Source organism: Homo sapiens, chromosome 11 (assembly GCF_000001405.40).
Source record: "Homo sapiens chromosome 11, GRCh38.p14 Primary Assembly".
NCBI classification, from domain to species: Eukaryota; Metazoa; Chordata; class Mammalia; order Primates; family Hominidae; genus Homo; species Homo sapiens.
The window spans coordinates 126,220,702-126,248,089 of NC_000011.10; the positions used below are offsets into that span (position 1 = coordinate 126,220,702).

At 41.3% G+C, this 27,388-nt stretch overlaps 2 protein-coding genes and 1 pseudogene across 6 annotated transcripts in view, besides 2 other annotated features; 2 read left to right on the forward strand and 1 right to left on the reverse strand.

The window, feature by feature from the left end:
* The window catches only part of FAM118B (family with sequence similarity 118 member B), a 51,264-nt gene that overhangs the window by 8,978 nt on the left and 14,898 nt on the right, over positions 1 to 27,388 (forward strand). For 3 of the 5 annotated variants that reach the window (XM_011542978.4, NM_001330446.2, NM_024556.4), the window contains exons 2-4: positions 8,524 to 8,592; positions 14,294 to 14,386; positions 20,091 to 20,343. In XM_011542978.4, coding sequence (XP_011541280.2) covers positions 14,301 to 14,386; positions 20,091 to 20,343 — 339 coding nt within the window. In that variant the 5' untranslated portion in view covers positions 8,524 to 8,592; positions 14,294 to 14,300. The remainder of the gene's footprint in view (positions 1 to 8,523; positions 8,593 to 14,293; positions 14,387 to 20,090; positions 20,344 to 27,388) is intronic. The other 2 variants (NM_001439324.1, NM_001439325.1) reach the window with 1 other exon arrangement.
* Positions 9,999 to 10,199: a silencer, noted in NCBI's record as "peak1502 fragment used in MPRA reporter construct". NCBI's record gives its function as "represses an SCP1 promoter by STARR-seq MPRAs in K562 erythroleukemia cells {active_cell/tissue: K562}" and the evidence as "EXISTENCE:reporter gene assay evidence [ECO:0000049][PMID:32103011]".
* Positions 11,079 to 11,279: a silencer, noted in NCBI's record as "peak1503 fragment used in MPRA reporter construct". NCBI's record gives its function as "represses an SCP1 promoter by STARR-seq MPRAs in K562 erythroleukemia cells {active_cell/tissue: K562}" and the evidence as "EXISTENCE:reporter gene assay evidence [ECO:0000049][PMID:32103011]".
* SRPRA (SRP receptor subunit alpha) overlaps positions 15,229 to 27,388 on the reverse strand; it is a 32,966-nt gene continuing 20,806 nt past the window's right edge. The window contains exon 14 of the mRNA XM_047427497.1: positions 15,229 to 15,554. Coding sequence (XP_047283453.1) covers positions 15,371 to 15,554 — 184 coding nt within the window. The 3' untranslated portion in view covers positions 15,229 to 15,370. The remainder of the gene's footprint in view (positions 15,555 to 27,388) is intronic.
* On the forward strand, positions 24,334 to 24,581 carry RN7SL351P (RNA, 7SL, cytoplasmic 351, pseudogene; annotated as a pseudogene).

The window sequence follows — 27,388 nt, forward strand, 5'->3', positions numbered from 1 at the left end:
CAAACAAAAAAGACTGATGCTACCTGCTTGGCAAAACCATGTTTTTAGAGCTATTTCTCCTAAGAAACCTGGTCTTTGTAGTTGTTCTGATGGCTTCTGTGACAAATAATGCCTTTTTTTTTTTAAGAGCTTTCAGATTCTTATTTCAGATCTAAACAGTGCTTTTCAGCTCTCAGTTCATCTTCAGATCAAAGAGAATAGTAGGCCGGGCGCAGTGGCTCATGCCTGTAATCCCACCACTTTGAGAGGCCAAGGCATGTGGATCGCTTGAGGCCAGGAGTTTGAAACCAGCCTGGCCAACATAGTGAAACCCTGTCTTTACTAAAAATACAAAAATTAGCCAAACATGGTGGCGTGGGCCTGTAATCCCAGCTACTTGGGAGCCTGAGGCAGGAGAATAGCTTGAACCCGGGAGGCAGAGGCTGCAGTGAGCTGAGATCAAGCCACTGCACTCCAGCCTGGGTGACAGAGTAAGACTCCATCTCAAAGAAAAACAATATTAATTTTTGGCTAATTTTTATTAGGAAAAAGAGAATATCCTGAAAAGAATATCATGCTAGTTTAAGGTTACAGATTTACTTTCTTCCCTGGGTTCCCTTTGGTTCATATTCTCTTGTTTAGAAATGATCCAAATACATTATTCTGAAGTATATGACAGTTTTTCCAAAATCAGTAAATACATATGTTGGTGCTTAAAACAGAAAGAAAGAAATAATGGCCTATAAATATTATCACATAGCTTATTTCTACTATTCAGAGATCTGTATAACTTAGGATAAGGAGCAGGTTGTTGAACGGTTTTTTGGTTTTTAAGTTTGAAGTACAGTCTGAAAGTACCTTTCAATATTGAAGGGCTGCCTGACTGAAACTTACATGGCTATCTCCTGGGCCTGAAGCACCACCGAGATCTGAACTGAAGGTAGCGTTTTGGGAGTCCTTAGCGTTTAGTTGGTATTTTAATATCTAGGGGTGAATGGGGTGGGAAGGGAAGGGAGTATGTAAAGGGAATAGACTGGAGAGCCCTGCGGATCCTCAGCATTTAGGAAACAGGGAAGACCTCCCACTAGAGGGGAGGGAGGAAAACCAGGAAAAGGCAAGATGGACTTCAGTGTTGGGTGTTTCAGGAGGCAGAGGAGGATAAACACCAACAATTTCATTGAATTTTGCCATAAGGGTATTTATCTCCCATAAAGCTTTCCTTGATTTTCCTCAAGCAGAAGTGCTCATCTCCTTGGTACCTCATCCAGGCATGTGAAACTTGGCACAAACATGTTGTAAAGGTTTGTTTATAGTTCTGTTTCTCCAAAGGTGTAGACTTGTTAAGAGTGTGGCCCACGGCTTGTTCGTTTTTGTGAGATGGTATTGTTTTGTGTCTTAACAACATGAACACTGACTCCATGTCTAATGTGTAATAGTCGTGTGACCTTTAACAAGCTGCTTAACATCTGTGTGCTTCTGTTTCATTGTCTATACCATTTATGATATGAGATGATAATAGCATCTACCTCACAGAAGAGCAGATATTTGTGAAGTGTGGAAAACAGTGCCTGGCTTACTGTCAATGCTATGTAGTGTTTGGTGGAGGAGAACTGGATGCAGCAATACTAATATTCTTAGCACAGTGCTGGATGTTTAACAGATATTTGAACGTGAAGATGTAGTAACCTGTGATGAATTCAGTTCCTAGCATTTTAAAATTCTACAAGCATATACAGAATATAATCATGGCCAGGCCATAGGAGAACTACAAATGGAAGTGGACTGAGAGGAAAGTGCATGTAGCTTTGTTTTATGAAACAAATCTATAGACTTTCAACAAAAGTACTATGTGATTCTAATTTCTTGTTGTTAGGAAGGAAAAACAACCTCCAAAGCAGGTGAGAATCTTTATGTTTAGGGATGAACAGCTTTAAACAGGTGAGTGGTGGATATCAGCACGGAAGGTATTTGTTTGGATGAGAGAAAATACTACAACCTTCCCAAATTCATCCTAATTTTTGCAGCTCAGAAAATTAGAAATATCAATTGATCCCTTAGACTTTAATTAATGGTAGATACACACTCATTCCATCAGCGAATGTTTGAACTTCTTCTGCACCGTATACACACTTTATAACAGGAACTATGCTATGGGATGGGGATAGGATGATAAATAAATTAGACACTGTACTCGCCCTAGAAGGGCTTTTATTCTTGTGGGAGAGGCCAATAATTGCAAGTACTGTGAGATACAAACTAGGAGATGAAGTATAAATGAAGAACTTGGGGTAAAGGGAGTGGAAAACCAGGCTACAGATGGTAACATTTAAATTGAGATGCCAAGGAGGAGGGTGTGGGGAGGCCCTTGCAGAATATCACTCTGAGGAAAGGCTGCAGCTGGGAACTTGAGGTGGGGCGGGGGAGGGGGGGGTGTTCAAGCAACTGAAAGAGGCCTGTGCGCCTCAAGAGCCCAGCGAGTGAGGGAGGGGGCTGGATGGATGTTGTGTGGATGCCGGACACTGGATCATGCCAGGTCTTGTAGCCACGATGAGGAGTATGTTATTAAACACAGTGAGAAGCCATGGAATGATTCAAACATGACTTAACCCAATTTGTGTTTTGAAATCTCTTTTGCTGGGGCCGGGTGTGGTGGCTCACACCTGTAATCCCAGCACTTTGGGAGCTGAGGCGGGCAGATCACGAGTCAGGAGATCAAAACCATCCTGGCTAACACGGTGAAACCCCATCTCTACTAAAAATACAAAAAATTAGCCGGGTGTGGTGGCGGGCGCCTGTAGTCCCAGCTACTCGGGAGGCTGAGGCAGGAGAATGGCGTCAGCCCGGGAGGCAGAGCTTGCAGTGAGCCGAGATCGCCACTGCACTCCAGCCTGGGCGAAAGAGCGAAAAAAAAAAAAAAAAATCTTTTGCTGCTACATAAGCTTTTCTTTTTTCTCTAATTGTATTTTAGATAGATTTAATATGTAAAATAAGAGAAACTGATTTCTTAGCTCAAAATACTGATGCCCTTGAATCATTTGCCAGAAATAGTTCTTCCCCTAAGAATCAACCCTTAAAAACCAGTTTACAGAGTAGACATCAGAGACTTGAGTTATAAAGTGATTTATATATAAAATGTTTTGGTGCCAGACAATGGTCTTGGAACCTTAAGTTGAAGTTTTCTTCTGCCTGCTAGAATCAGACTACATTCACTGTTAGGACGATTGGCATATCCAAAAAATGATAGTCTGAATATTGATTTATTTGTGTACACAGTTTTCCCATTTGTTCCATTTAAAAACTAACATGGTTTTTTATGGTCCTTATTAAAAGCAGTTACAGGGTGTTCTTTCGTTTGAGTTAGTTTGTGAAATAAATATCTGAATGCCTACTGTGTGGCAGGCACTGTTCTGCACTTTTAGACTATATCCATAAACTAAACAGGCAAAGGACCCCTGTCTTTGGGGGACTTACATTCTAGTGGAGGAGGCAGATAACAATAAATATAATTAGGGCCAGGTCCAGTGACTCTCGCCTTTAATCCCAGCACTTTGGGAGAGTGAGGCAGGCGGATTGCTTGAGTCCAGGTGTTTGAGACCAGCCTGAGCAACGTGACAAAACCCTGTCTCTACAAAATACAAAGAAATTAGCCGGGTATGGTGGCATGCACCTGTAGCACCTGTAGCACTAGGAGGCTAAGATGGGAAGATTGCTTGAGCCCCGTGGAGGTCAAGGCTACAGTGAGCCATGATCATGCCACCATGTTCCAGCCTGGGTGACAGAGCGAGACCCTGTCTCAAAAAAAAAAAAAAAAAAAAAAAAAAAAATTAGTAGAGTCATAGTACTAATAATTGGTATGTTAGAGGGTGCTGTGTGCTGTGAAATAAAAAGTAGAACAGCTAACATGGTGGAGGGTATAATTTTAAATAGAATGGGTAGAGTAGCATCATTGAGAAGGTACAATCTGAATAAAGGCATGGAAACCTGTACAGATACATAGAGAAAGAACATTCCAGGCAGAAGGAATGATCTATGCAAAGGAAAACCCCAAGGTCGGGGTGTACCAGGCCTGTTTGAGGAACAGTGAAGAGGCCAGCGTAGCTGGAGGGAGGGTATGTGAGAATATCTTGGCTTCCTAGGAATGCGTTTCTCCTCAGTCAATTTCAAAAAGTTCATAAGCCAAAACAGATGAATAATTAGGCAGAGATCTCCCATCCCATGAATGCTCTGCAGATGGTAACCTATAAACACCCAGACTCATGTCTTAACTCAAATTAGGTAATTCCAAAATAATGCAAATGTTCCTTAAATTCAGTTCATAGGGCAGCTGAGCAAACAAGATCTCTTTTATGTGAATAAGAAACTGAAGACTTTTGCCATTCCAATTTCTAGATCTCCAGATTAGAAGCCAAAAGGCTCTACTTTGCAGCAGAGGATGGCAAAGATGCCAAGTGCACTTGGCATCTTAAGAGAGGCAGCGATTGTGGGCTTAGGGAGAACTGCCTTTTAAGAGCAGCTTTTCTCAGGTCCCTTGTTTCTTTCGAGCTCAGTACCACCAAATCCTTTTCAATTTTTTATTTGGCAATCCACATTTTCTGTTCTTTGACGCAGTGAAATTTTCCATTTGTTCCCTAAGTTTCCAATCTTAAATTTGGCACACTACTTTCAAAAGGTCATAATCAATACCCACTATAGTAGAATATTGCCCAAGTTGTGTGTACATCACGTGTATTCTGTGGGTGTAGAGCATCAGCATTGTCTTGGTTTCACATGCACAATAATTTTTATAAAGAGCCACACCCAGTTTCTCCAGTGAGATCGCTAGAGCTGTTCCAGTCATACTTGCCCACAGCTAATCCTTTCCCATGTTGTTTCTGAATTTTATTTTTTGTAAGTAGAGTGTCCTTTTGTAGTTTCTTAAGCTTCAGATTGATTCCCAGTTTGTCATGGTTGGTCAGTTTGAATCCTCTTCTCTGAGTTGCTGTTCATTGTTTCCAGCTTAGTTTTCCATGAGGTTGGAGTGAAGTAAGATTACTAAAGACCTGTAATCCCAGCACTTTGGGAGGCCAAGGCAGGCAGATCATTTGAGGTCAGGAGTTCGAGACCAGCCTGGCCAACATGGTGGAACCCTGTCTTTACTAAAAATACAAAAATTAGCTGGGCGTGGTGGTGGGCGCTTATAATCCTAGCTATTTGGGAGGCTGAAGCAGGAGAACTGCTTGAACCCAAGGAGATGGAGGTTGCAGTGAGCTGAGATTGCACCACTGCCCTCCAGCCTGGGTGACAGAGTGAGACTCTGTCTCAAGAAAAAGAAGAAGATTACTAAATAAAATGTTGAGAAGCATGGAAGGCAAAAAATAGTCTACATTCTTCTCACAGCCAAAAAGGAACATGGCGCAAGTTCCTATCACTGTGAGTTAGAAAGGCCAGAAAGGAACGTGGCGCAAGTTCCTATCACTGTGAGTTAGGCAGGCCAGAAAGGAACGTGGCGCAAGTTCCTATCACTGTGAGTTAGGCAGGCCAGAAAGGAACGTGGCGCAAGTTCCTATCACTGTGAGTTAGGCAGGCCAGAAAGGAACGTGGCGCAAGTTCCTATCACTGTGAGTTAGGCAGGCCAGAAAGGAACGTGGCGCAAGTTCCTATCACTGTGAGTTAGGCAGGCCAGAAAGGAACGTGGCGCAAGTTCCTATCACTGTGAGTTAGGCAGGCCAGAAAGGAACGTGGCGCAAGTTCCTATCACTGTGAGTTAGGCAGGCCAGAAAGGAACGTGGCGCAAGTTCCTATCACTGTGAGTTAGGCAGGCCAGAAAGGAACGTGGCGCAAGTTCCTATCACTGTGAGTTAGAAAGGCCCTTCAGCAATTTAACAGGCCTTTTCTCTCCTTCCCCCCGGCAGGGCTGCATATAGATCACCCCCAAATCTACTAGTCTACTCTCTTTCTCTTTAAAAGGAAATGCAACTACCTCTTTTGGCCTCCAGTTCTGTTGCCATTTTAAATAGGAAGGTCAAGAACCCAGCATTGGCCAGGTGCAGTGGCTCACACCTGTAACTGAAGCACTTTGGGAGGGCTGAGGCAGGCGGATCACTTGAGCCTGGGCGTTCAAGACCAACCTGGACAACATGGTGAAACCCCGTGTCTACAAAAAATTAGCCAGGCATGGTGATATGCGCCTGTAGTCCCAGCTACCCGAGAGGCTGAGGGAGGATCACCAAGCCTGATGGTGGAGGCTGCAATGAGCTATGATCATGCCTGGGCAACAGTGAGACCCCGTCCAAAAAAAAAAAAAAACACCTAGCTAGCATTTTGTAGACTTAAATTTATTAACTATTGAATGATAAATTGAAAGAGAGAAATTGAATGCTCTCAAACAATACAAGCTTCTTTTTTTTTTTTTTTTTTTTTTGAGACTGAGTCTGGTTCTGTCACCCAGGCTGGAGGGCAGTGGCATGATCTTGTCTCACTGCAACCTCCGCCTCCCGGGTTCAAGCGATTGTCCTGCCTCAGCCTCTCGAATAGCTGGGACTACAGGCACCCACCACCATGCCCAGCTGATTTTTGTAGTGTTAGTAGAGATGGGGTTTTGCCATGTTGGCCAGGCTGGTCTTGAACTCCTGACCTCAGATGATCCACCTGCTTGGCCTCCCAAAGTGCTGGGATTACAGGCGTGAGCCACCGTGCCCAGCCACAAGCTTATTCATAAATCCTTCTTTAGTTCCTACTCTGATAACTGGATTTTATTTATAACTAAACCTATGATGGGTTTTTATTCAGTTATTTTTAATCCATTATATCTGTCTAAAATGTTGTACACCTGAATGTGAACTCGAAAGTAATTGTGTAATGATGAATGAATGAAGTGAACTTGAGTGACTTTTTTGTACCTCTTCATGTTGTAAAACATTTATTTTCCTTTTAATTCTAAGAATAACTGTAACACGAATCTACTTCATATCTTTCTTATCCTTCTGTTCTTGGTTTTGCTATCAATGGTTTTGGATTCCATGCTCACAATGTGGGGACCTCCAGGATATTTCACCTGGTGCAGCCAAGTGAATTCACTTAATCACTACAGACAGTTACACTTGAGGGTTTTTAATGGTAAAATTTTTTAATTTTCAAAATTTGTTATTTATTTATTTTTGAGATGGGTTCTCACTCTATCACCAGGCTGGAGTGCAGTGGCATGATCATGGTTCACTGCAGCCTTGATTTCCCAGGCTCCAGTGATCCTCCCAACTCAGCCTCCCGAGTAGCTGGAACTATAGGCATGCACTACCACACCTGGCTAATTTTTGTATTTTTGGTACAGATGGGGTTTCGCCATGTTGCTCAGGGTGGTCTTGAACTCCTCAGCTCAAGCATTCTACCTTCCTGAGCCTCCCAAAATGCTGGGATTAGGTGTGAGCCACTGCGCCCAGCCAAAAAACTTGTTTTTAATTTTCAGCTCTATTTAAGTTGGAAATCCTCAAGGAAGTGAAAAGGGGTGAAAATGAAGTGGAATGTATTTACTAAACATTTTTTTTTTTGGTTTTGTTTTTTGAGACAGGGTCTCGCTTTGTCACCCAGGCTGGAGTGCAGTGGCATAATCTCAGATCACTGCAACCTTAGCCTCCTGGGTTCAAGCAGTTCTGCCTCAGCCTCCCTCCTGAGTAGCTGGGATTACAGGTGTGTGCCACCACACCTGGCTAACCTTTGTATTTTTGGTAGAGATGGGGTTTTGCCATGTTGGCCAGGCTGGTCTCAAACTCCTGAGCTCAAGTGATCCTCCTGCCTCGGCCTCCCAAAGTGCTGGGATTACAGGAGTGAGCCACTGGGCCTAGCCCATTTTAATTTTTATGGCAGGAAAGTCTTCCCTTCATTAAGACTTGTCAATTTTTCGTTTGTTTGTTTGTTTTTGTTTTGAGATAGAGTCTCATTCTGTTGCCCAGGCTGGAGTGCAGTGGCATGATCTTGGCTCACTGCAACCTCTGCCTCCCAGGTTCAAGAACTTCTCTGCCTCAGCCTCCCGAGTAGCTGGAATTACAGGTGCCCACCACCACACCCAGCTAATTTTTTGTATTTTTAGTAGAGATGGGGTTTCACCATCTTGGCCAGGCTGGCCTTGAACTCCTGACCTCTTGATCCACCCGCCTTGGCCCCCCAAAGTGCTGGGATTACAGGCTTGAGCCACCCGCGCCTGGCCTCAAATTTTAACTCATAGAGAATATCCTTTATAATGATGGCATCTTCTGGAATGCCCCAGACTTGGAAGAATCTGCATTTGTACGCAGTATGTTGTGTTTACTCTGTTGACATAAAAGTAAGCTACTGAGGGTTATTTCTCATAGGTAACCCACACTATTTTTGTAGTAGAAATTCAATTGTTAAGGACTCACTAGAGTCCTTAAAGAGTTATCTTGCCCTTAAAGAGTTATTCAATTTCATTTTTAATGAATAACCTATGCCATTTATGATGGAATTGTTTGTGTGATCATACTACTTGATCTATGGGAAATATCTGATATTTTAAAAGTCTCCTTACTTAGCAACATGTGTCATTATTTTCAGGATATACCTTCTCAGAAGCTGCACAGGAGGAAAGCAGTGACAAAGAAAGAAGTTGTCATTCTTTGCACGGTAAAATCATCACCTCCAGTCACCAACTTCTAATTCAAATTAGGTTTTAATTTGTTCATTATTTCTTCTTGGAACACTTTTGTTCCCTATACATATGCGTTACTTTGGCTTTATAATAGAAAATAACAAGCAACATCTGAGCTCTTTTGTTTGTTTTTTTGTTTTTTGAGACAGAGTCTCACTCTGTCACCCAAGCTGCAGTGCAGTGGCGCCATCTCGGCTACCTGCAACCTCTGCCTCCCAGGTTCAAGCGACTCTACTGCCTCAGCCTCCCGAGTAGCTGGGATTACAGGCGCCCACCACCGCACCCGGCTAAATTTTGTATTTTTAGTAGAGACGGGGTTTCACCATCTTGGCCAGGCTGGTTTCAAACTCCTGACCTCACGATCCACCCACCTCGGTCTCCCATAATGCTGGGATTGCAGGCGTGAGCCACCGTGTCCAGCCACATCTGAGCTCTTGAGCCTGGAATACCAGTATGATTTATTTTGGGGGCTTAAGTTAAAGGGCATTCTAGAATTTGGGGTTTTTCTTCTCAATCCTTAATGTCTTTCAGAAACCTTACCTCTAGTGAGGTCTTTCTCCTTACCTTGTTCAGATGGGGTCATTGTTTGCTAGTAAAATGGCAAGAACAAGTGGCATCAGTCTGGCATTTCCTCAGTGACTCTGTTAAAGCACATGTTCAGGAAATGAGTGTGATACAGATCTTATCTGACAGAAGGTAGAGGGTCTCAGGCATGCTAAGGGATAAAATTAGGAGCCAATCGAGTTCACCATAGATGAAATATTTCAAGACTGGGATCCACAGAGGAATCAGATCTTGGCACAGCTAGACATGATTCCTGTCTCCCTGTGTGCTGAGATAGAGGAAACCGTGAGTTTGCTTTATCCACTGATGGGAAAGGCTGCAGTCTACATATGGAACTGAATTCATCAACTACCCAAGCAAAGTCTTTAGGATTTTATTTAATTTGTTCACTACTGACAAGCTTGTTGGGAACTCTTTAGTAGTACTTCACTTTGGGTATCTTTCCCTTCCTCCCAAATCCGATAGTTGCTAAAAACCCAGATGTGTTGGAATTAGTCCAAGAGCCACAGTTAGAAAGGTTTGGTTTCTTCTCAAGTCAGAGGATGACTCTTTTCCCTTAAGAAATGAAGTTAACCCTTTTCTATATTTATGCTAGAGAAATAAACCATTCTTTATTCCAGTCACTTTTATTTTTTAAAAGGGGGTGGAGGAAGCTTGCTGATCCTTTTACAGCAAGAAACGTACCACTTTCTCAAGCTGGTAATTGTAGATCTTTTATTTCCAGGCAAAAATACTTTTTAAAACATTAGAATTTTTCTCTCCATTTGATTTATTTCGTCTGCTAATATACCCAGGTGTATCACTCTGAGCTCCTTCTGGCATGTCACTTGTTTGAGCTGAGGAGTATGCACTGGACTTACAGGAGAAACATAGCTCAGAATGAAGAAGGCGGGCTGGGAGACCTCACTCTGATTCTCAAGTGAAGGGAAGCCCAGAGCTTGCTATCTTTTTAGCACCAAGATGCTATCAAAACAAGAGCTGCTGGGATTCTTTGATGTTTTCAAGTCCACAAGTCCTCTGCTGTGTGCAAACTTAATTTCATTTGGATAACCAGTTCCTTTTCTCTTGTCCCTTTACCATATTTCTTCTGGATTTTTTCTAGAACACTCGCCCTTTTTCCTTTTTCATCCACCAGAGATAGAAGCATTACATTTCCTGCCAAGCTGACAGGTTTCAAAGTACAAGTGTTCTGTCTCATATGAAGACTTCAGCCTTAACATTTCTGTTAATGAGGTTGCTGTTACTTTGCTCATCTTTTACCAAGTATCTGACTTTTATTTTGCTGTACTCTATTGGCCTTGAAGGATTTCTCAGTGGCTTAGCAGTAATTGAGGTAATGAAGACACTGCCACAGGTAATTGACTTTGTTTTCTTGTGGCAGAAAAACATTTTCCATTTTTGCTATACATAGCAAGTCCCACAAAAATGAAAACTCAAACGTGATCACATAAAAAAAATTAAAGTGTGAACTAGCTTTGAAGCTCTTTAGCAATAACTGCATTTTGTTTAGGGTACATGCTAAAATTGATTTTTTTTTCCTGAAAACAGTACTCTAGAAGGAATAAAATATGGTTTGTGCTTATATGCCACTGGGGTATACATGTGAGATTGTATCATGTGAGGCATCCTTTAGGGTAAAGAAAATATGTTTCTCTGTTAGAAAACAGGATGAGTATATGATTGGATATAATGTAGGCATGCTGAGCTACGTCTCATTCAGTACCTAAATAAGAAGACCCTAAACATTCTCAGTCAGAAGCGATTGGCTATATTTAATTTTTTAAAGTAATAGTAGTTGGAATGGACCTTCAGAAAAGTTGACTGTGTAAAGAAATAAGTCAGAAAGCTTAGTATTCAGGTCTAGACATCATGAATTAACCATCTGGCAGAAATAGAATCCAGCAAAAACGATCTTACGTAATTTCCAGGACAAAATGGTAGGACAGATCTAGGCTCTGGTGGATAAGTGGTAGTGAGAAGTATATAACAAATAGTGCTTGTCACTGGAGAAAGTAGTTTTCCCAGCTTCTGAATGTAGTTGACTGCCAAGATTGCATCAATGGAGTACCTAGTTAACAAGCAGCTGTTAAGGATTACTTGGCATTACTTCAAGTAAATCTCCTTTCTAGAATGCAGGCACTTCCTTTGTTGATAGTTTTGGACTTTAAGTTTTTTTTTGTTTGTTTTGGCTGAAAAGTTAATACAGGTTTATTATTCCTCATCTAAAATGCTTGTGAGCAGAAAGAAGTGTTTTGGATTTCTAGGGGATTTTTTTGTTTTGTTTTGTTTTTAATATTTGCATTATACTTAACGGTTGAGCATCCCTAGTCCAAAAAATCTGAAATCTGAAATGTTCCATTGAGCATTTCCTGTTTAGCAATAGTGTAGTTAAGAACTTGGACTTGAGAGGCACAGTTGCCATGGTTTGAATACTGGTACTACCAAGTACCCGATCTTTCTGTGCCTCAGTTTTCTCATCTGTAAAATAAGGTAAGAACAATGCCTCGTAAGGTTATGCGGATTAATGAGTTAATGTTTATAAATAGTCCATGGCATGTAGTTAAGAGCTTGTAAACTGGCTTAGTAGCTGAATTGAGCATTGAATTCTGAAGATGTCCATCTTCAAAACTTAATAAGCATGAACTTCCCTCTACATTTTACTTTCATCTCTCTCAATATAGTGTTTTTACTTGCATGTCATCTGTTTAGATGATGGGTTTATAGAACCATATTTAAGAAAAGAACTTAAGCACCTAAGTTTTTTCCTTAAAAACAACTTAAAAAATATATTTTTTTAAGTTTTTTAAAGTTTTTTTAAAACTTAAAAAATATTTTTTTTTAAAAAAATATATTTTTTCCTTAAAAAAACTTAAAAAAATATATATCCCCAAACTAATGGATTGTCCTGTGTGTGGAAGAAGTAAACACATTCTACCCCTAGTTCACCATTCTAGAGCGTTGACTTTTAGAATCGGAAGTGAGTCACATAAGTTAAAACTTCATAAAAATATTTTAAGGACACTTAAAACCTGGCTATTGTTATAAGCAAACTGGGAAGTCGTTAGACTGTAATAAGTTATTACACTTAAGGGAAGATGGCTTAATGGTATACTTCATGTGCATCCTATATTTAACAAAATTGTTGCATTGTAGAAAAATTAAGTTTGCATCTTATTTAGGTGTTTCCTATTTGAAGGAAGATTCTGGAGAATCTGATTCTGTAATTTTGGAGTAGAGCCTAGAAACAAACTTTTTTAATTTAATGAATTAACTTTATTTTCAAGAATATATATACTTTTAACAAACATCCCAGCTGGGTGCGGTGGCTCACACCTGTAATCCCAACACTTTGGGAGGCTGAGGCGGGCGGATCACCTGAGGTCAGGAGTTCGAGACCAGCCTGATCAACATGAAGAAATTCTGTCTCTACTAAAAATACAAAATTAGCTGGGCATAGTGGCGCATGCCTGTAATCCCAGCTACTCAGGAGGCTGAGGCAGGAGGATTGCTTGAAGGGAGCAACTGCCAGGAGGCGGAGGTTGCAGTGAGCCGAGATTGCGCCAGTGCACTCCAGGCTGGGCAACAAGAGCAAAACTCTGTCTCAAAAACAAAACAAAACAAAAAACCCAGAAAAACCTACATGGTTGTGTTAAGGCAGGATTTACTGAGATAAGTGACTCATCTGTCTTCTCCTGAGCCCCAGCTTTCTCACCAACAGAATCAAAGATTTGACTGGAAACATGATCTACTTCCTAACTCACTACTGTGACTGTATTATTTCTATTTACCTTATGATTATGATATAAAGAAGAATTACACTGCGTGTGATGGACTATGGGGTGAGGATGTGAGCCTTCTGTTTACCACAAAAAATTAATTCAGAAACTTAGTGTTTTAATAAAGAAAAAGGCTTTTTTGGGCTGGGTGCAGTGGCTCATGCCTGTAATCCCAACATTTTGGGAGGCCAAGGCTGGAAGATTACTTGAGCTCAGGAGTTAGAGACCAGCTGGGCAACATGGCAAAACCCCCTCTCTACAAACAGTACAAAATTCCACCAGATGTGGTAGCATGTGCCTGTAGTCCCAGGTGATGGAGAGGCTGAGGTGGGTTGATCGCTTGAGCCCAGGAGGCCGAGACTGCAGTGAGCCAAGATGGCGCCACTGTACTCTAGCCTGGACAACAGAGCAAGACCCAGTCTCAAAAAAAGAAAAGAAAAGGGCTTTCTAATAAAACAGTAAACTTGCAGTAATTATTAGTAATTCAGTTCTATATGTTGCCAGTGGAATGTACTAAAACACCCCAAACGGTGGTAGTATGTATTGTCTTCTATATTGTGTGTGTGTTTAAAATACTATTACTATTTTTAAATTCACAGTCTTTAGATTTAACAAGTTTGCCAAAGTTTGAGCACTTAGAACTTTATAGTATTCATTCTAATCCATGGTAATTATTTACTTTTGCCAGTTATTCCAGCACCCGAACATAATTGGCCATTTTTCATACATCTTTGCTTGATGATACATTTACCAGTCATCACAGTGGCTTGATTTGAAGTCCACTTCATGTTTAGTTAGAGAGACATGCCCCACTGGCTACAAGGTCACCATCGTCCAACAACAGAGAATGTCATTCAGCAAATTAGTATTGATTGTTCTGTTCTTGACTCAGTAATTTCTTCAGCTGAGAGTAAATGGGTAATTGGGGGCTATTAATACACTTATCTATGGGTGGTTTTTATCCCCTGAGTCTTCCGCAAACCCATCTTGTGGGAGAATAACTGGTTTTTCTTAAGTTCTACAAAGTGATGGCCAGTAATTGACATGAGTTGACACTGTTTTTGGTGGGAACTTGGGGGCAGGCCTTCAGAAACAGAAGCAAGATGGTAGTATGGAGCACCAAAGTCCTATAATTTCCAGATTACTTCTTTTAGACTAATTTAATTTAGCTCCTTGTTTAGAATGTTCATTAATTAACAAATTTCTGTTAAGTAGGGGGCACCTCCAAAACACCTTTAAGGGTATACAGCTTTTTTAAACTGTTTAATATATGTGCTATTTTGAATAGTATACTTTACAGATCTAATTGTGGTTCATGGTGTTTAATCTATTTTAGAAACTGGATGGCTTCTACAGGGAGCCAGGCCTCTGATATAGACGAGATTTTTGGATTCTTCAACGATGGCGAACCTCCCACCAAAAAGCCCAGGTAAACAAGAGAAGGGAATCAGCAGAGTAAATTACCATTAGTGGGAGAGAAAGAAAAATAGCCAACTTATACCTTCTATATCAGTTGTTTTCACTAATTAGTATTGACCTTCATACTCAAAATTAAATTGTTTTTATTTTGGGTTTAATTTTTATTTTTTATCAAGGCAGTACAGGTACATAGTTTTTAAAATCAGTATTTCAAAGTCCGCCCTTCCTCAGAGATAATCACTTTCAACTTTACCTGTTTCTTCTAATGTTGACATCCATGTTTGAAAATACTATATATATTGCTGCTTTTTAGTTTTTTGGTTTTATTGATTTCTGAGTATGGAATATAAGGACTGCTTTGCTCTCATGACTCCTCCCTCTGTATTGCCACTCCACACACTCTCCCCATGTTCTTGTATGTTTGTGTCACAGTGTTTGGTTCAATCCACTTTTTTTTTTGAGACAGAGTCTTGCTGTGTCGCCCAAGCTGGAGTTCAGTGGCACGATCTTGGCTCACTGCAACCTCCACCTCCCGGGTTCAAGAAATTCTCCTGCCTCAGCCTCCTGAGTAGCTGAGATCACAGGTGCCTGCCACCATGCCCAGCTAATTTTTTTGTATTTTTAGTAGAGATGGGGTTTGACCATGTTGGTCAGGCTGGTCTCGAACCCCTGACCTCGTGATCCACCCGCCTCGGCCTCCCAAAGTGCTGGGATTATAGGCGTGAGCCACTGTGCCCGGCCTGGTTCAATCCACTTTTAATATTTACATTATTACGACTGTATAAGTAGTATTCATAGCTGAGCCTAATGCGTAACGATTATGTTTCCTTTCTTGCCCATTTTTTTTGCTTATGTCATTAAAGACTGTCTTTTTTGTTTGTTTGTTTGCTTTCAATGTATTCTCACATGCTCTGACAGAAGAATAAATCTCCTAGCTATACTGAAACACACCGATAACTTGCTGGTTTGTGTCATGGATTCTTCCTTCTGGATGCTAGTCCACTCTGGACACTTGTTCTCCAGTCCTGTTGCGTTCCTGATATTTGCTATTTCCCATTCCCATCATCCTGATAATTTCCTTTACATCTCTCCTGTATCGATTCTCTGTTTGCTGGATCTCATGTCCTCTTTTTTGGTGCACGCCTTTGTTTTCCTGAAGCATGTCCTTGCATAGCCTCCTAAGTAAGGACCCATAGGAGAAAATTATTTGGACATATTTGAAAAGGTCTTTATCATACACTTACATTCATTTGATGGTTTGACTGAGTATAGAATTTTTAGTATCTCTCATTCATACTCTGCTAACATCTAAGTATTCCTGCCAAAATAGCCACTCTGTTCTGATTCCCAATCCTTTGTATTGTATGACCTCTTTCCCTGTTTTTTGTTTTGTTTTGTTTCATTTTTGTTGTTGTTGTTGTTCATTAGAAGCTTATAAGGATCATTATTTTATTCTCAGTAACCTGAAATTTCACAGTGATGTATCTTGTCATATGAATCTAGACACCGGGCAGCTCTTTAAAGCTGGCAACTAGTACCTTCACTTTGGAGAAGTTGACTTATATTACTTTTTTGATACTTTCCATTACAATGTTTTTTCTATTCCACATTTTTTTAAAACTCTTGTTATTCAGATGTTGGACTTCTTGTATTAAGTCTCTAATTTTTTATGTGTTGCTTTATTTTTTTCCCCCCCATTTCGTTTTCTTAAATTTAGCTTTCTCGGGGGTTCTCTGTTTTATCTTGTGGATTTAAAAATTTCTGTTGCGTTATTTTTGATTTATGAAGTCTTTTTGTTTGTTCATTTTTTCATAGCACTCTGTTTATGTTTCACAGATGCTTTTTTTTTTTTTTTTTTTTAGACAGAGTCTCACTGTCTCCCAGGCTGGAGTGCAGTGACACTATCTCGGCTCATTGCAAGCTCTGCCTCCCGGGTTCACACCATTCTCCTGCCTCAGCCTCCCGAGTAGCTGGGACTACAGGCGCCCGCCACCATGCCCGGCTAATTTTTTGTATTTTTAGTAGAGACGGGATTTCACTGTGTTAGCCAGGATGGCCTTAATCTCCTGACCTCATGATCCACCTGCCTCAGCCTCCTAAAGTGCAGGGATTACAGACGTGAGCCACCGCGCCTGGCCTTTTTTTTTTTTTTTTTTTTTTTGAGATGGAGTCTCGCTCTGTTGCCCAGGCTGGAGTGCAATGGTGCAATCTCAGCTCACTGCAACCTCTGCCTCCCGGGTTCAAGCAATTCTCCTGCCTCAGCCTCCTGAGTAGCTGGGATTACAAACGTGCTCTACCACACCTGGCTAATTTTTATTTTATTTATTTATTTATTTTTTAAATAAAGACAGGTTTTCACCATGTTGACCAGGCTGATCTCAAACTCCTGACCTCAAGTGATCCACCTGCCTTGGCCTCCCAAAGTGCTGGGATGACAGGCGTGAGCCACCCCACCTGGCCAATTTTAAAAAAATCTAGGCCAGGCTCGGTGGCTCACGCCTGTCATCCCAGCACTTTGGGAGGCTGAGGTGGGCAGATCGTGAGGTCAGGAGATCGAGACCATCCTGGGTACCTGGGTAACATAGTGAAACCCTGTCTCTACTAAAAAAAAAAAAAAAAAAAAAAAAAAATTAGCGGGGCGTGGTGGCGCGTGCCTGTAATCCCAGCTACTCGGGAGGCTGAGGCAGGAGAATCACTTGAACCTGGGAGGCGGAGGTTGCAGTGAGCTGAGATTGTGTCACTGCACTCCAGCCTGGCAACAAAGCTAGACTCCGTCTCCAAAAAAAAAAAAAAAAAGAAAAGAAAAAATATATGTGAGGATATCATTGTTTTCTTTTAATTTTTTTTTCTCCTTCCCATACTATCTCTTATTTCCTTCAGATTTCTCTCTACCTGCTAGTTTGTTTGGTATAACTGTTATGTTGGGGGCTTTCCTCAGATGTGAGGTGACCCTTGTTTGTCTGCCCATTTTTAACAGAAAACACCAAAAAGCCAATGGAAGAGGCCGGGTGCGGTGGCTCACGCCTGTAATCCCAGCACTTTGGGAGGCCAAGGCAGGCGGATCACTTGAGGTCAGGAGTTTGAGACCAGCCTGGCCAACCTGGTGAAACCCCGTCTCTACTAAAAATACAAAAATTGGCTGGGTGTGGTGGCACGTGCCTGTAATCCCAGCTACTCGGGAGGCTGAAGCAAGAGAATCACTTGAACCCAGGAGGCAGAGGTTGCAGTGAGCCAAGATTACGAGATTCCATCTCAAAAAAAAAAGCCAGTTGGAGAATCTGTGTGTACATAAGGGGCTTGGTCCCAGACTCTATGTAGAGTTAAGGAATTCCCACCTGTCAGAATCTGCAGGTTTTTCATCTCATACTGGCCATTTTCCTGAAAGAGGAATCGTCCTCATTTCCTAACTGGATGGGGGATAGGGGTGCAGGTACAGAGTTGATTCCTAGAGTCTGAAAAGCTTCCTCTGGGGAAAGAGAGTTGGGGGAAATCTTGTATTTTATATACAGACTTTTACTTAATCCCCACCCTCAGCTGTGTGCAGTGTTCTCAGATATAGTCCTCTGGTCAACCTCTGCAGAAGGGAAACCTCTAGCCTGCTGAAAGTTGTAACTGTTAAAGGCTTGTAACTGATTCTCCTATTTTAGCCCCACCAGCCCCTCTACCTTTAGATGTACATGAACATTCCCAAAATTCTACCAAGGGAATCGGCCTTTGCATTACAATTGGTAAAATGTTGTTGCCCTTTGACCTCTGTTGTCTGCTGTCATCTTTACCTAGCCTACTTTTTAGGTATATATACCCGCTAAAAAAAAAAAGTAACTATTATTTGGTGGTTTACAAAGAACCAGTAATAAAACACAATTGTTAAATGTTTTATTTTTAAGTGGAAGTCTTTTTTTTTTTTTTTTTCGAGACAAGGTCTTGTTCTGTCACCCAGGCTGGAGTGCAGTGGCACAAACACAGCTCACTGCAACCTCAGCCTCCTGGGCTCACGTGATCCTCCCGTGAACTTAGCCTCCCAGGTAGCTGGGACTACAGACGTGCCTAATTTTCTTTTTCGTTCTTTCTTTGTTTGGCAGAGATGGGGTCTCACTAAGTTGCCTAGGCTTGTCTCAAACTCCTGGGCTCAAGCTCAGCCTCCTAAAGTGCTGAGATTACAGGCATGAACCACTGCACTTAGCCAAATTGGAAGTCTTAATTAGGAAGAATTATAGTTCAAATCTGTATGTTATATAAAAAAATACAGTACAACAGTATAAAATGAAAAGTAAAAAGTCCTTATTCTCTGCTATCCCCATTTAACCACTATTTATACATCTTGTGAATCCTAGAAATTTTCTATGTGTGTGTATATTTGTTTATGTGGATTTGTGTATGCTTCACTATCTTGATTGCTCTGAACTGAAACTCATTTTTCATCATTTGCTTCTAACATCTATTATTAATGTCTTTTCTAGTAGACTGATCTTTCAAGATCAGGGACTCCATTTTGTTCATGGATACATGACTCCCGTAGTGTCTGGTACATACAGGTTTTCCTTTCCTGCCTCAGCCTCCCTAGTAGCTGGGACTACAGGTGTGCGCCACCAGACCCAGCTAATTTTTGTATTTTTAGTAGACACAGAGTTTCACCATGTTGGCCAGGCTGGTCTTGAACTCCTGACCTCAAGTAATCAGCCCACCTTGGCCCCCCAAAGTGCTGGGATTACAGGCGTGAGCCACTGCTCCTGGCCTCGGTTTTTCATATTTGTTGAATGACTGAATGCAGAAGCTCGGGTTAGGGAAAGCAGTTTTAGAGGCTGTGTCCCCAAAACCAGGTTTCCCAAGGCTTGAAAGTGCTATTCCTTTCTTGAGTTATGCCAAAATGCTGATCCTCTCCATTTTATTATTTAGACAAAAAGGTTGGGGAGAAGCCATTTTCAGGGGAGGGGAACATGCCATCAGCAAAAATTAATGTGAAGGAACATATTTCAAGCAGGGATAGTCTCCAGAATGAAAGAGAGGGGAACAAAAACAAAAATTAGCACCCATGCTGTCTCACATATGGGCCTCAGAACAGAGAAGTCTGTCTCTGCTTATCATGGTAAGAAAGGAATGTTTTTCACTTTTTGTCATGTCCTTTGATTAGTTAATGTCTTTATTTAGGTATGTAGGGCCCCTGTGTTTTCAGAATTCTATTGGCCACTTTTTTTTTCTTTTTTTTTTTTGCCTGAGGTTAATGTTTACAAAATTCAGAATTAAATTTTGTATTGCCTTTCCCCTAGTGTTTTACATTTCTCAATAATAGGAACTTAATTTGTCCTGGGGTTCTTTTCTCTTTTTCTAGAGTACAAATCAAACGTCTTCTTTTGAAATTTAATACTGGTTTAAAATATAATTTAGTTGGCAGAAGTCAGCTGAGCTATAGTCTATTTGGATCTTTTCCTAATATTAGTGGAATTTCTTAGGTTGAGAGGACTAGGAAGGGAAAACTGATTTTAAGATTGGTTTTGGGATTCCTGAAATAGGTTTATGACTTGTTTTTCAGCAAGCACTGACACAATATTCTGGTTGTTTTCTTTAAACTGCTTTGGAAAGGTGTCAAAAACTGCTGTTCATCTTCTTTGCAACTATAAAAGTTAGCTAAAAACTGTAACCTGAGTCAGACAGTCTTTCTGTGTGCCTCATATCTATTGGATATTCCAATCCTCTCATTTGTTTTGCTTTTATAGGAAGCTGCTTCCAAGCTTAAAAACTAAGAAGCCTCGAGAACTTGTGCTAGTGATTGGAACAGGCATTAGTGCTGCAGTTGCGCCCCAAGTTCCAGCCCTCAAATCCTGGAAGGGGTTAATTCAGGCCTTACTGGATGCTGCCATTGATTTTGATCTTTTAGAAGATGAGGAGAGCAAAAAGTTTCAGAAATGTCTCCATGAAGACAAGAACCTGGTCCATGTTGCCCATGACCTTATCCAGAAACTCTCTCCTGTGAGTACCCTAGTATGTGCCACAGTATTTGGAATTTCCTAAAATTTAACTATCACAACTAGCATGATTTGGCTGTCAAAACTAGCATGCCAAATGTAACAGGGATATTCATTTACAGCTTGTAGGTTTCCATAACATTTGACTCTTCTGCGCAATGTCTGTTTATGGACCCTACTCAGGACAGTTGTCTTAACCCCATTTCACTGTGTGTCTATGAGAGAGAAATGATGTTGAGGACTTTATATGTACAAATTACCACTGTGTTTTGAATTTATTTTTTTCCTGCATCACTACTATAAAAGCTGTGTTCTGTGGCATCCATGCCTTGTATGGAATCCCACAAAGATTGGAGATAATTTTATCATTTTATACATGAAACAAAACCAGTTTTTAGTGTTCTTTTTAGAGGTAATAAGTCAAAATATTTAGAAGGAATTGCACCTTATTTTACCAAACTGAGTTGGATAAAAGGACTCCCTGTCTTGCTTTGTCTGAAAATTTATTTATTTATTTATTTATTTTTTGATGGAATCTTCTTCTTGTCACCCAGGCTGAAGTTCAGTGGTTCGATCTCGCCTCATGGCAGCCTCCGCCTCCTGGGTTCAAGCGATTCTCCTGTCTCAGCCTCCTGAGTAGGTGGGATTACAGGCATGTGCCACCATGCCCAGCTAATTTTTGTATTTTTAGTAGAGACAGGGTTTTGCCATGTTGGTCAAGCTGGTCTCGAACTTCTGACCTCAAGTGATCTGCCCACCTCAGCCTCACAAAGTGCTGGGATTATAGGCATGAGCCACTGCACCCAGCCTGTTTTAAAATCTTAAAAATCAGGCTTCTAGGGCCAGGCGTGGTGGGCACCTGTAATCCCAGCTGCTCAGGAGGCTGAGGCAGGAGAATGGCTTGAACCCGGGAGGTGGAGGTTGCACTGAGTTGCGGTCGCGCCACTGCACTCCAGCCTGGGCGACAGAGGAAGACTCCGTCTCAAAAAAAAAAAAAAAAAAAGGAATTAATGGGGTTTTAAAGAGTTCATGGAATCTCCATACACTTTATAAAAATTAAAAATGGATCAAAGACCTAAATATGATACCTAAAACTGTAAAACTCTTAGAAGAAAATACAGATTTAAAATTTCATGACTGGATCTGGCAGTGGTTTTTTAGACATGACACCAAAAATGCAAAAAACTAAAGTAAAAAAAAATATAGATAAACTGGACTTCTCCAAAGTTAAAAACTGTTAGGCTGAAAGGACACTGTCAAGAAAGTGAGCCGGGGATGGTGGCTCATGCCTATAATCCCAGAACTTTGGGAGGCCAAGGCAGGAGAACTGCTTGAGGGCATGAGTTCAAGACCAGCCTGGACAACATAGTGAGACCCTGTCTCTACCAAAAGAAAAAAAAAAGTGAAAAGACAGCTTCCAGAATGAGAAAATGTTAGCAAATCACATATCTCATAGGCGTATAATATCCAGAATCTATAAAGAACTACTGTAACTTAATAAAGGCTAATAATTCAATTTTAAAATAACGATGTAGTTGAATAGACATTTCTCCAAAGAAGATACACAAACGGCCAATAAGTGCATACGAAAAGATGTTCAGCGTCATTAGTCATTAGGAAAATACAAATCAAAACCACAACAAGGTGCCATTTCACACCCGCTGGCATGACTAGAATCAAGAAGACAATAATAAGTGTTATTAAGGATGTGGAGAAATTGGAACCTTTGTGGGAATGTAAAGTGATGCAGTTGCTTTGGAAAACAGATTGGCAGTTCCTCAAAAAGTTGAACAGTGATTCTATGAACCAGCAACTGCACTCATAAGTATATACCTAAGCGAATGGAAAGCATATTCATGCAGCAACTGTACACTCATGTTCATAGCAACGTTATTCATAATAGCCAAAATAGTGGAAACAACTCAAATGTCTAGTTCATGAATGGAGAAACAAAATGTCTGTCCATGCAATGTTAATTGGCCATTAAAAGGAATGAAGTGCTCGTCCCATACAACAACATGGATGAACCTTGAAAACATTAAGTAAAAGAAGCCAGACACAAAAGGACATATATTGTATGATTCCATTCATATAAAATGTCCAGAACAGGCAAATCCATAGAACAGAAAGTAGATTATTGCTTGACAGGGCTAGAGGAAATTCTTCCCAAACTATGCTAAAAAATAGAGTAGGAGGGAGTACTTCCAACTCATTGTATGAGGCCCATATTATCCTGATAACAAAACCAAACAAAAGACATCAGAAGAAATGAAAATGACTAAACACAGTGGTTCAGGCCTGTAAGCCCAACGCTTTGGAAGGATGAGGCACAAGCATCACTTGGGCCCTGGAGTTCAAGACTCCACTGAGCTGTGATCGTGCTACTGCACTGCAGTCTCGGTGACAGAGCAAGACCCTGTCTGCCTCTAAAAAAAAAAAAGGAAAACTACAAACCAGCCAGGATCTCTTAGGAACATGGACACAAAAATCCTCAACAAAGTACAACCAGACTGAATGCAGTACCCATGAGGAAGTCAGAGTCTTCTGGGGAATGAAAGGTTGGTTTAACATCTGCATATCAGGCCAGGTGCGGTGGCTCACACCTGTAATCCTAGCACTTTGGGAAGCCAAGGTGGGCAGATCACTTGAGGTCAGGAGTTCGAGATCAGCCGGACCAACATGGCAAAACCCTGTCTCTACTAAAAATACAAAAATTAGCTGGGCATGGTAGTGCATGCCTGTAATCCCAGCTACCCAGGAGGCTGAGGCAGGAGAATTGCTGGAACCCGGGAGGCAGGGGCTGCAGTGAGCCAAGATCGCACCACTGCACTACAGCCTGGACGACAGAGCAAGACTCCGTCTCAAAAAAAAAAAAAAAAGTCTGCATATCAATATAATGCATCATATCAATAGGATAAAAGACAAAACCACATGATTTTCTCAGTAGGTGCAGAAAAAACATGTTAGCAAAATGCAACACTCTTTCATGATTTTTTTTAAAAAAGCCACACTCTACAAATGAAGGAATAATAGCAAACAATAGAAGGTAACTACCTCAACACGATAAAGACCGTATATGAAAAACTCACAGTTAACATATTTAATGGTGAAAGACTGGATTTTTTCCACTAAGATCAGCAGCAAGACAAGGCTGTTTTCCCACTCCACTCCTGTCCAACATGGTGCTGGATGTTCTAGACCGGGCAGTTAAGCAAGAAAACTAAAGGAATCCATATTGGAAAGGAAGAAGTAAACTGCCTCTGTTTGCAGATGTGATGATCTAGTCTATAGAAGATCCTAGGTTATCCTCTATTAGAACTAACAAGCTTAGCAAGGTTGGAGAATCCGGGATCAATATATAAAAATAGTATTTTTATACACTTGCAGTGAACAATACTAAAATGAAATATTAAAAATTCTTCCACTTGGCATCAAAAATAGTAAAATAGCTAGGAATAAATTTAACGAAAGAAGTACAGAAGGCTAGGCGTGGTGGCCCATGCCTGTTGTCTCAGCGCTTTGGGAGGCCGAGGTGGGCGGATCACCTGAGGTCGGGAGGTAGAGACCAGCCTGGCCAACATGGTGAAACCCCGTCTCTACTAAAAATACAAAAATTAGCTGAGCATGATGGCGGGTGCCTATAATCCCAGCTACTCGGGAGGTGGAGGCAGGAGAATCACTTGAACCTGGGAGCAGAGGTTGCAGCGAGCCAGGATCCCTCCACTGCACTCCAGCCTGGGCAACAAGAGCGAAACTCCATCTCAAAAAATAAATAAATAAGTGGAGAACTTATGCTTTGAAAACTACAAAACACTGAAAGAAATGAAAGAAGATCTAAATAAATGGAAAGACATGCCATGTTCCTGAATCAGAAGACTTAATATTATTAAGATGGAATACTCTGCAAATTGGTCTACAGATTAAGCATGGTCCCTATTAGGATCCAGCTGCTGATTTTGTAGAAATTGACAAACTGATTTAAAATTCATATGGGGCCAGGCACCATGGCATGCACCTGTAGTCCCATCTACTTGGGAGGCTGAGGCAGGAGGATTGCTGGAGGGCTTGAGCCCAGGAGTTCTGGGCTCCCAGGAGCAGGGGACCACCAGGTTGCCTAAAGAGGGGTGAACAAACACAGATTGGAAATGGAGCAGGTCAAAACTCTCATGCTGATCAGTAGTGGGATTGCGTCTGAATAGCCACTGCACTCTAGCCTGGGCAACATAGTGAGACCCTGTCTCTAAAAAAAAAAATTAAAACTTCATATGAAATTACAAGGGACCTAGGGTAGCCAAGACCGTCTTGAAAAAGAACAAAGTAGGGAGACTCAAATTTTTTTTTCTTTCAAAGCTTACTACAGAGCCACAGTAACTAAGGCAGCATGGCAAAGGATTCTCAGATCAGACACTGAAGGCACCAGCAACAGAAGAAAACTAGATAAATTGGACATGATGAGACTTTGAAACGGAAGTGCTGTAATGGTTGTCATCAAGAAAGTGAAAACAGAGCCAGGCACAGTGGCTTGTACCTGTAATCCCAACTACTTGGGAGGCTGAGGTAGGAGGATCATTTGATCCCAGGAGTTCGAGGCTGCAATCAGCTATGATCATGTCATTGTACCTCAGCCTGGGCAACATAGTGAGACCCTCGGCTCTAAAAAAGAAAAAAAAATGAGGCCGAGCGCAGTGGCTAACTCCTGTAATCCCAGCAATTTGGGTGGCCAAGGCAGGCGGATCACCTGAGGTCGGAAGTTCGAGACCAGCCTGGCCAACATGGTGAAACCCCATCTCTAATAAAAATACATAATTAGCTGGGCGTGGTGGCGCATGCCTGTAGTCACAGCTACTGGGGAGGCTGAGGCAGGAGAATTGCTTGAACCCGGGAGGCGGAGGTTGCAGTGAGCCGAGATAGCGCCATTGCACTCCAGCCTGGGCAACAGGTACGAGACTCCGTCCCAAAAAAAAAAAAAAGAAAGAAAGAAAGAAAAGAGAACCCACAGAATGGAGGAAATTATTTGTAGATCATATTTGACAAAAATCTAGTATCCAGAATATATAAAGAACTATTACAACTTAATAATAAAAATGATATATTTAGGGGAAATTTAAACACTAATATTAAGACATTAATATTTTTTAGGTGAGATAGAAGTATTGCGATTATGTTTTTGTTTTGTATGTACTTTTCTGACTTTTGTGTGTGTTTGGAAATGTCCATATTAGAAAAGAATCAAATCTAACAGTATCAACTCAGCAGTACTATGGCAGGGTTAACAGGCCTATCTACCGAGCCAGTTTAATGTATACTGGGGAAGTGACATTACAGATTCACTGCAAAGAGCTTAGGTTTTGGAATCAGACTCTGCCACTTAAATGCACTGGAACCCTGCACAAATCCCTTAACTTGTCAACATCTGTTTTTGCACCTGTGAAACTGGGATATTACTTCCTTGTGTCGCTTTGTGAAGAATAGGTGAGATAATGTGTATAAAATGTCTGGCACATAGTTGATGCACTAGAAATGTTAATAACCCTGGGGCGGGAGGCGGTGGGGGAACAGGTTTTTTTTCTTTCTTTTTTTAAATAGAAATGGGGTCTCCCTGTGTTGCCCAGGCTGGTGTTGAACTCCTGGGCTCAAGTGATCTTCCTGTTTCAGCTTCCCAAAAACTGAGATTACAGGCTTGAGCTACCATGCCAATTTTTTGTTTCTTGTTTTTACTAAGTTTCAGGGTAGAAGGAAATGAAGGTCACTGTTTTAGATGAATGGGAAAAGGCCCTTAGAAGTTGTGTGGGAGTTTGGCATTTCCTTCTGACTACTGAGCCTCCCTGTTTATGTTTTCATTCCTTTGTCTTTGCTTATAAAGGCCACTGGTGGCAAATTTAGTTCTAGGGTCATCTGCTTTAAGAGAAAAAAACTTTCCAGCCTGGGAAACAAAGCGGGACCCCCTATCTCTACACAAATTTTAAAATTAGCCTAGTGTGGTGGTACACGCCTGTGGTCCCACCTACACAGGAGGCTGAGGCAAGAGGATCACTTGAGGCCAGAAGTTTGAGAACAGCTTGGGCAACATAGTGAGACCCTGTCTGTACGAAAAATTTAAAAAGTAGTCGGCGTGGTGGTGTGCGCCTGTAGTCCTAGCCACTTGGGAGACTGAGGCAGGAAGATTGCTTGAGCCCAGCAGGTCAAGGCTGCAATGAGCCACGTTCATGCCACTGTACTCCAGCTTGGTGACAGAGCCAGACTTTCTCTCAAAAAAAGAGACAAACTTCCATTTTGAATCTTGAGGAAATCAATGCAGTTGCAGAATCATATTTCCTTCCTATGTTGATATGTAGGATTTAGTAGCTTAAATAGGTCTAAAAGATACTTAATTAAAATAAGTGACCTGGATTTTTTTCCCCCCAGGTTTTAACCTTTTCTATTCTTTTTCTTAGAAGCAAGAAAATATGTTCCACACCCATGATTATGTGATTGTATACCCAGGCCTTTTTATCGGTGTGTGTAATAATAAAACTGGTGTTAAAATGTAGTACGTATTTGCCAGCGCGGTGGCTCACGCCTGCAATCCCAACACTTTGGGAGGCCGAGGCGGGCAGATCACAAGGTCAGAAGTTCAAGACCAGCCTAGCCAACATGGTGAAACCCATCTCTACTAAAAACACAAAAAATTAGCCTGGCGTGGTGGCAGGCACCTGTAATCCCAGCTACTCGGGAGGCTGAGGCAGGGGAATTGCTTGAACCCAGGAGGCGGAGGTTGCAGTGAGCTGAGACCACGCCACTGCACTCCAGCCTGGGTGACAGATCGAGACTCCATCTCAAAAAAAAAATATATATATATATCTATATATATATATAGATATACGTATATCTATATAGATACGTATATCTATATATATATTTTTGTACTCTGACTCACAGACACACACTATCAATACATTATATATATTGTATATATATATACAAGGCGTGGTGGCACGCACCTGTAGTCCCAGCTACTCGGGAGGATGAATCAGGAGAATCACCTGAACCAGAGAGGCAGAGGTTGCAGT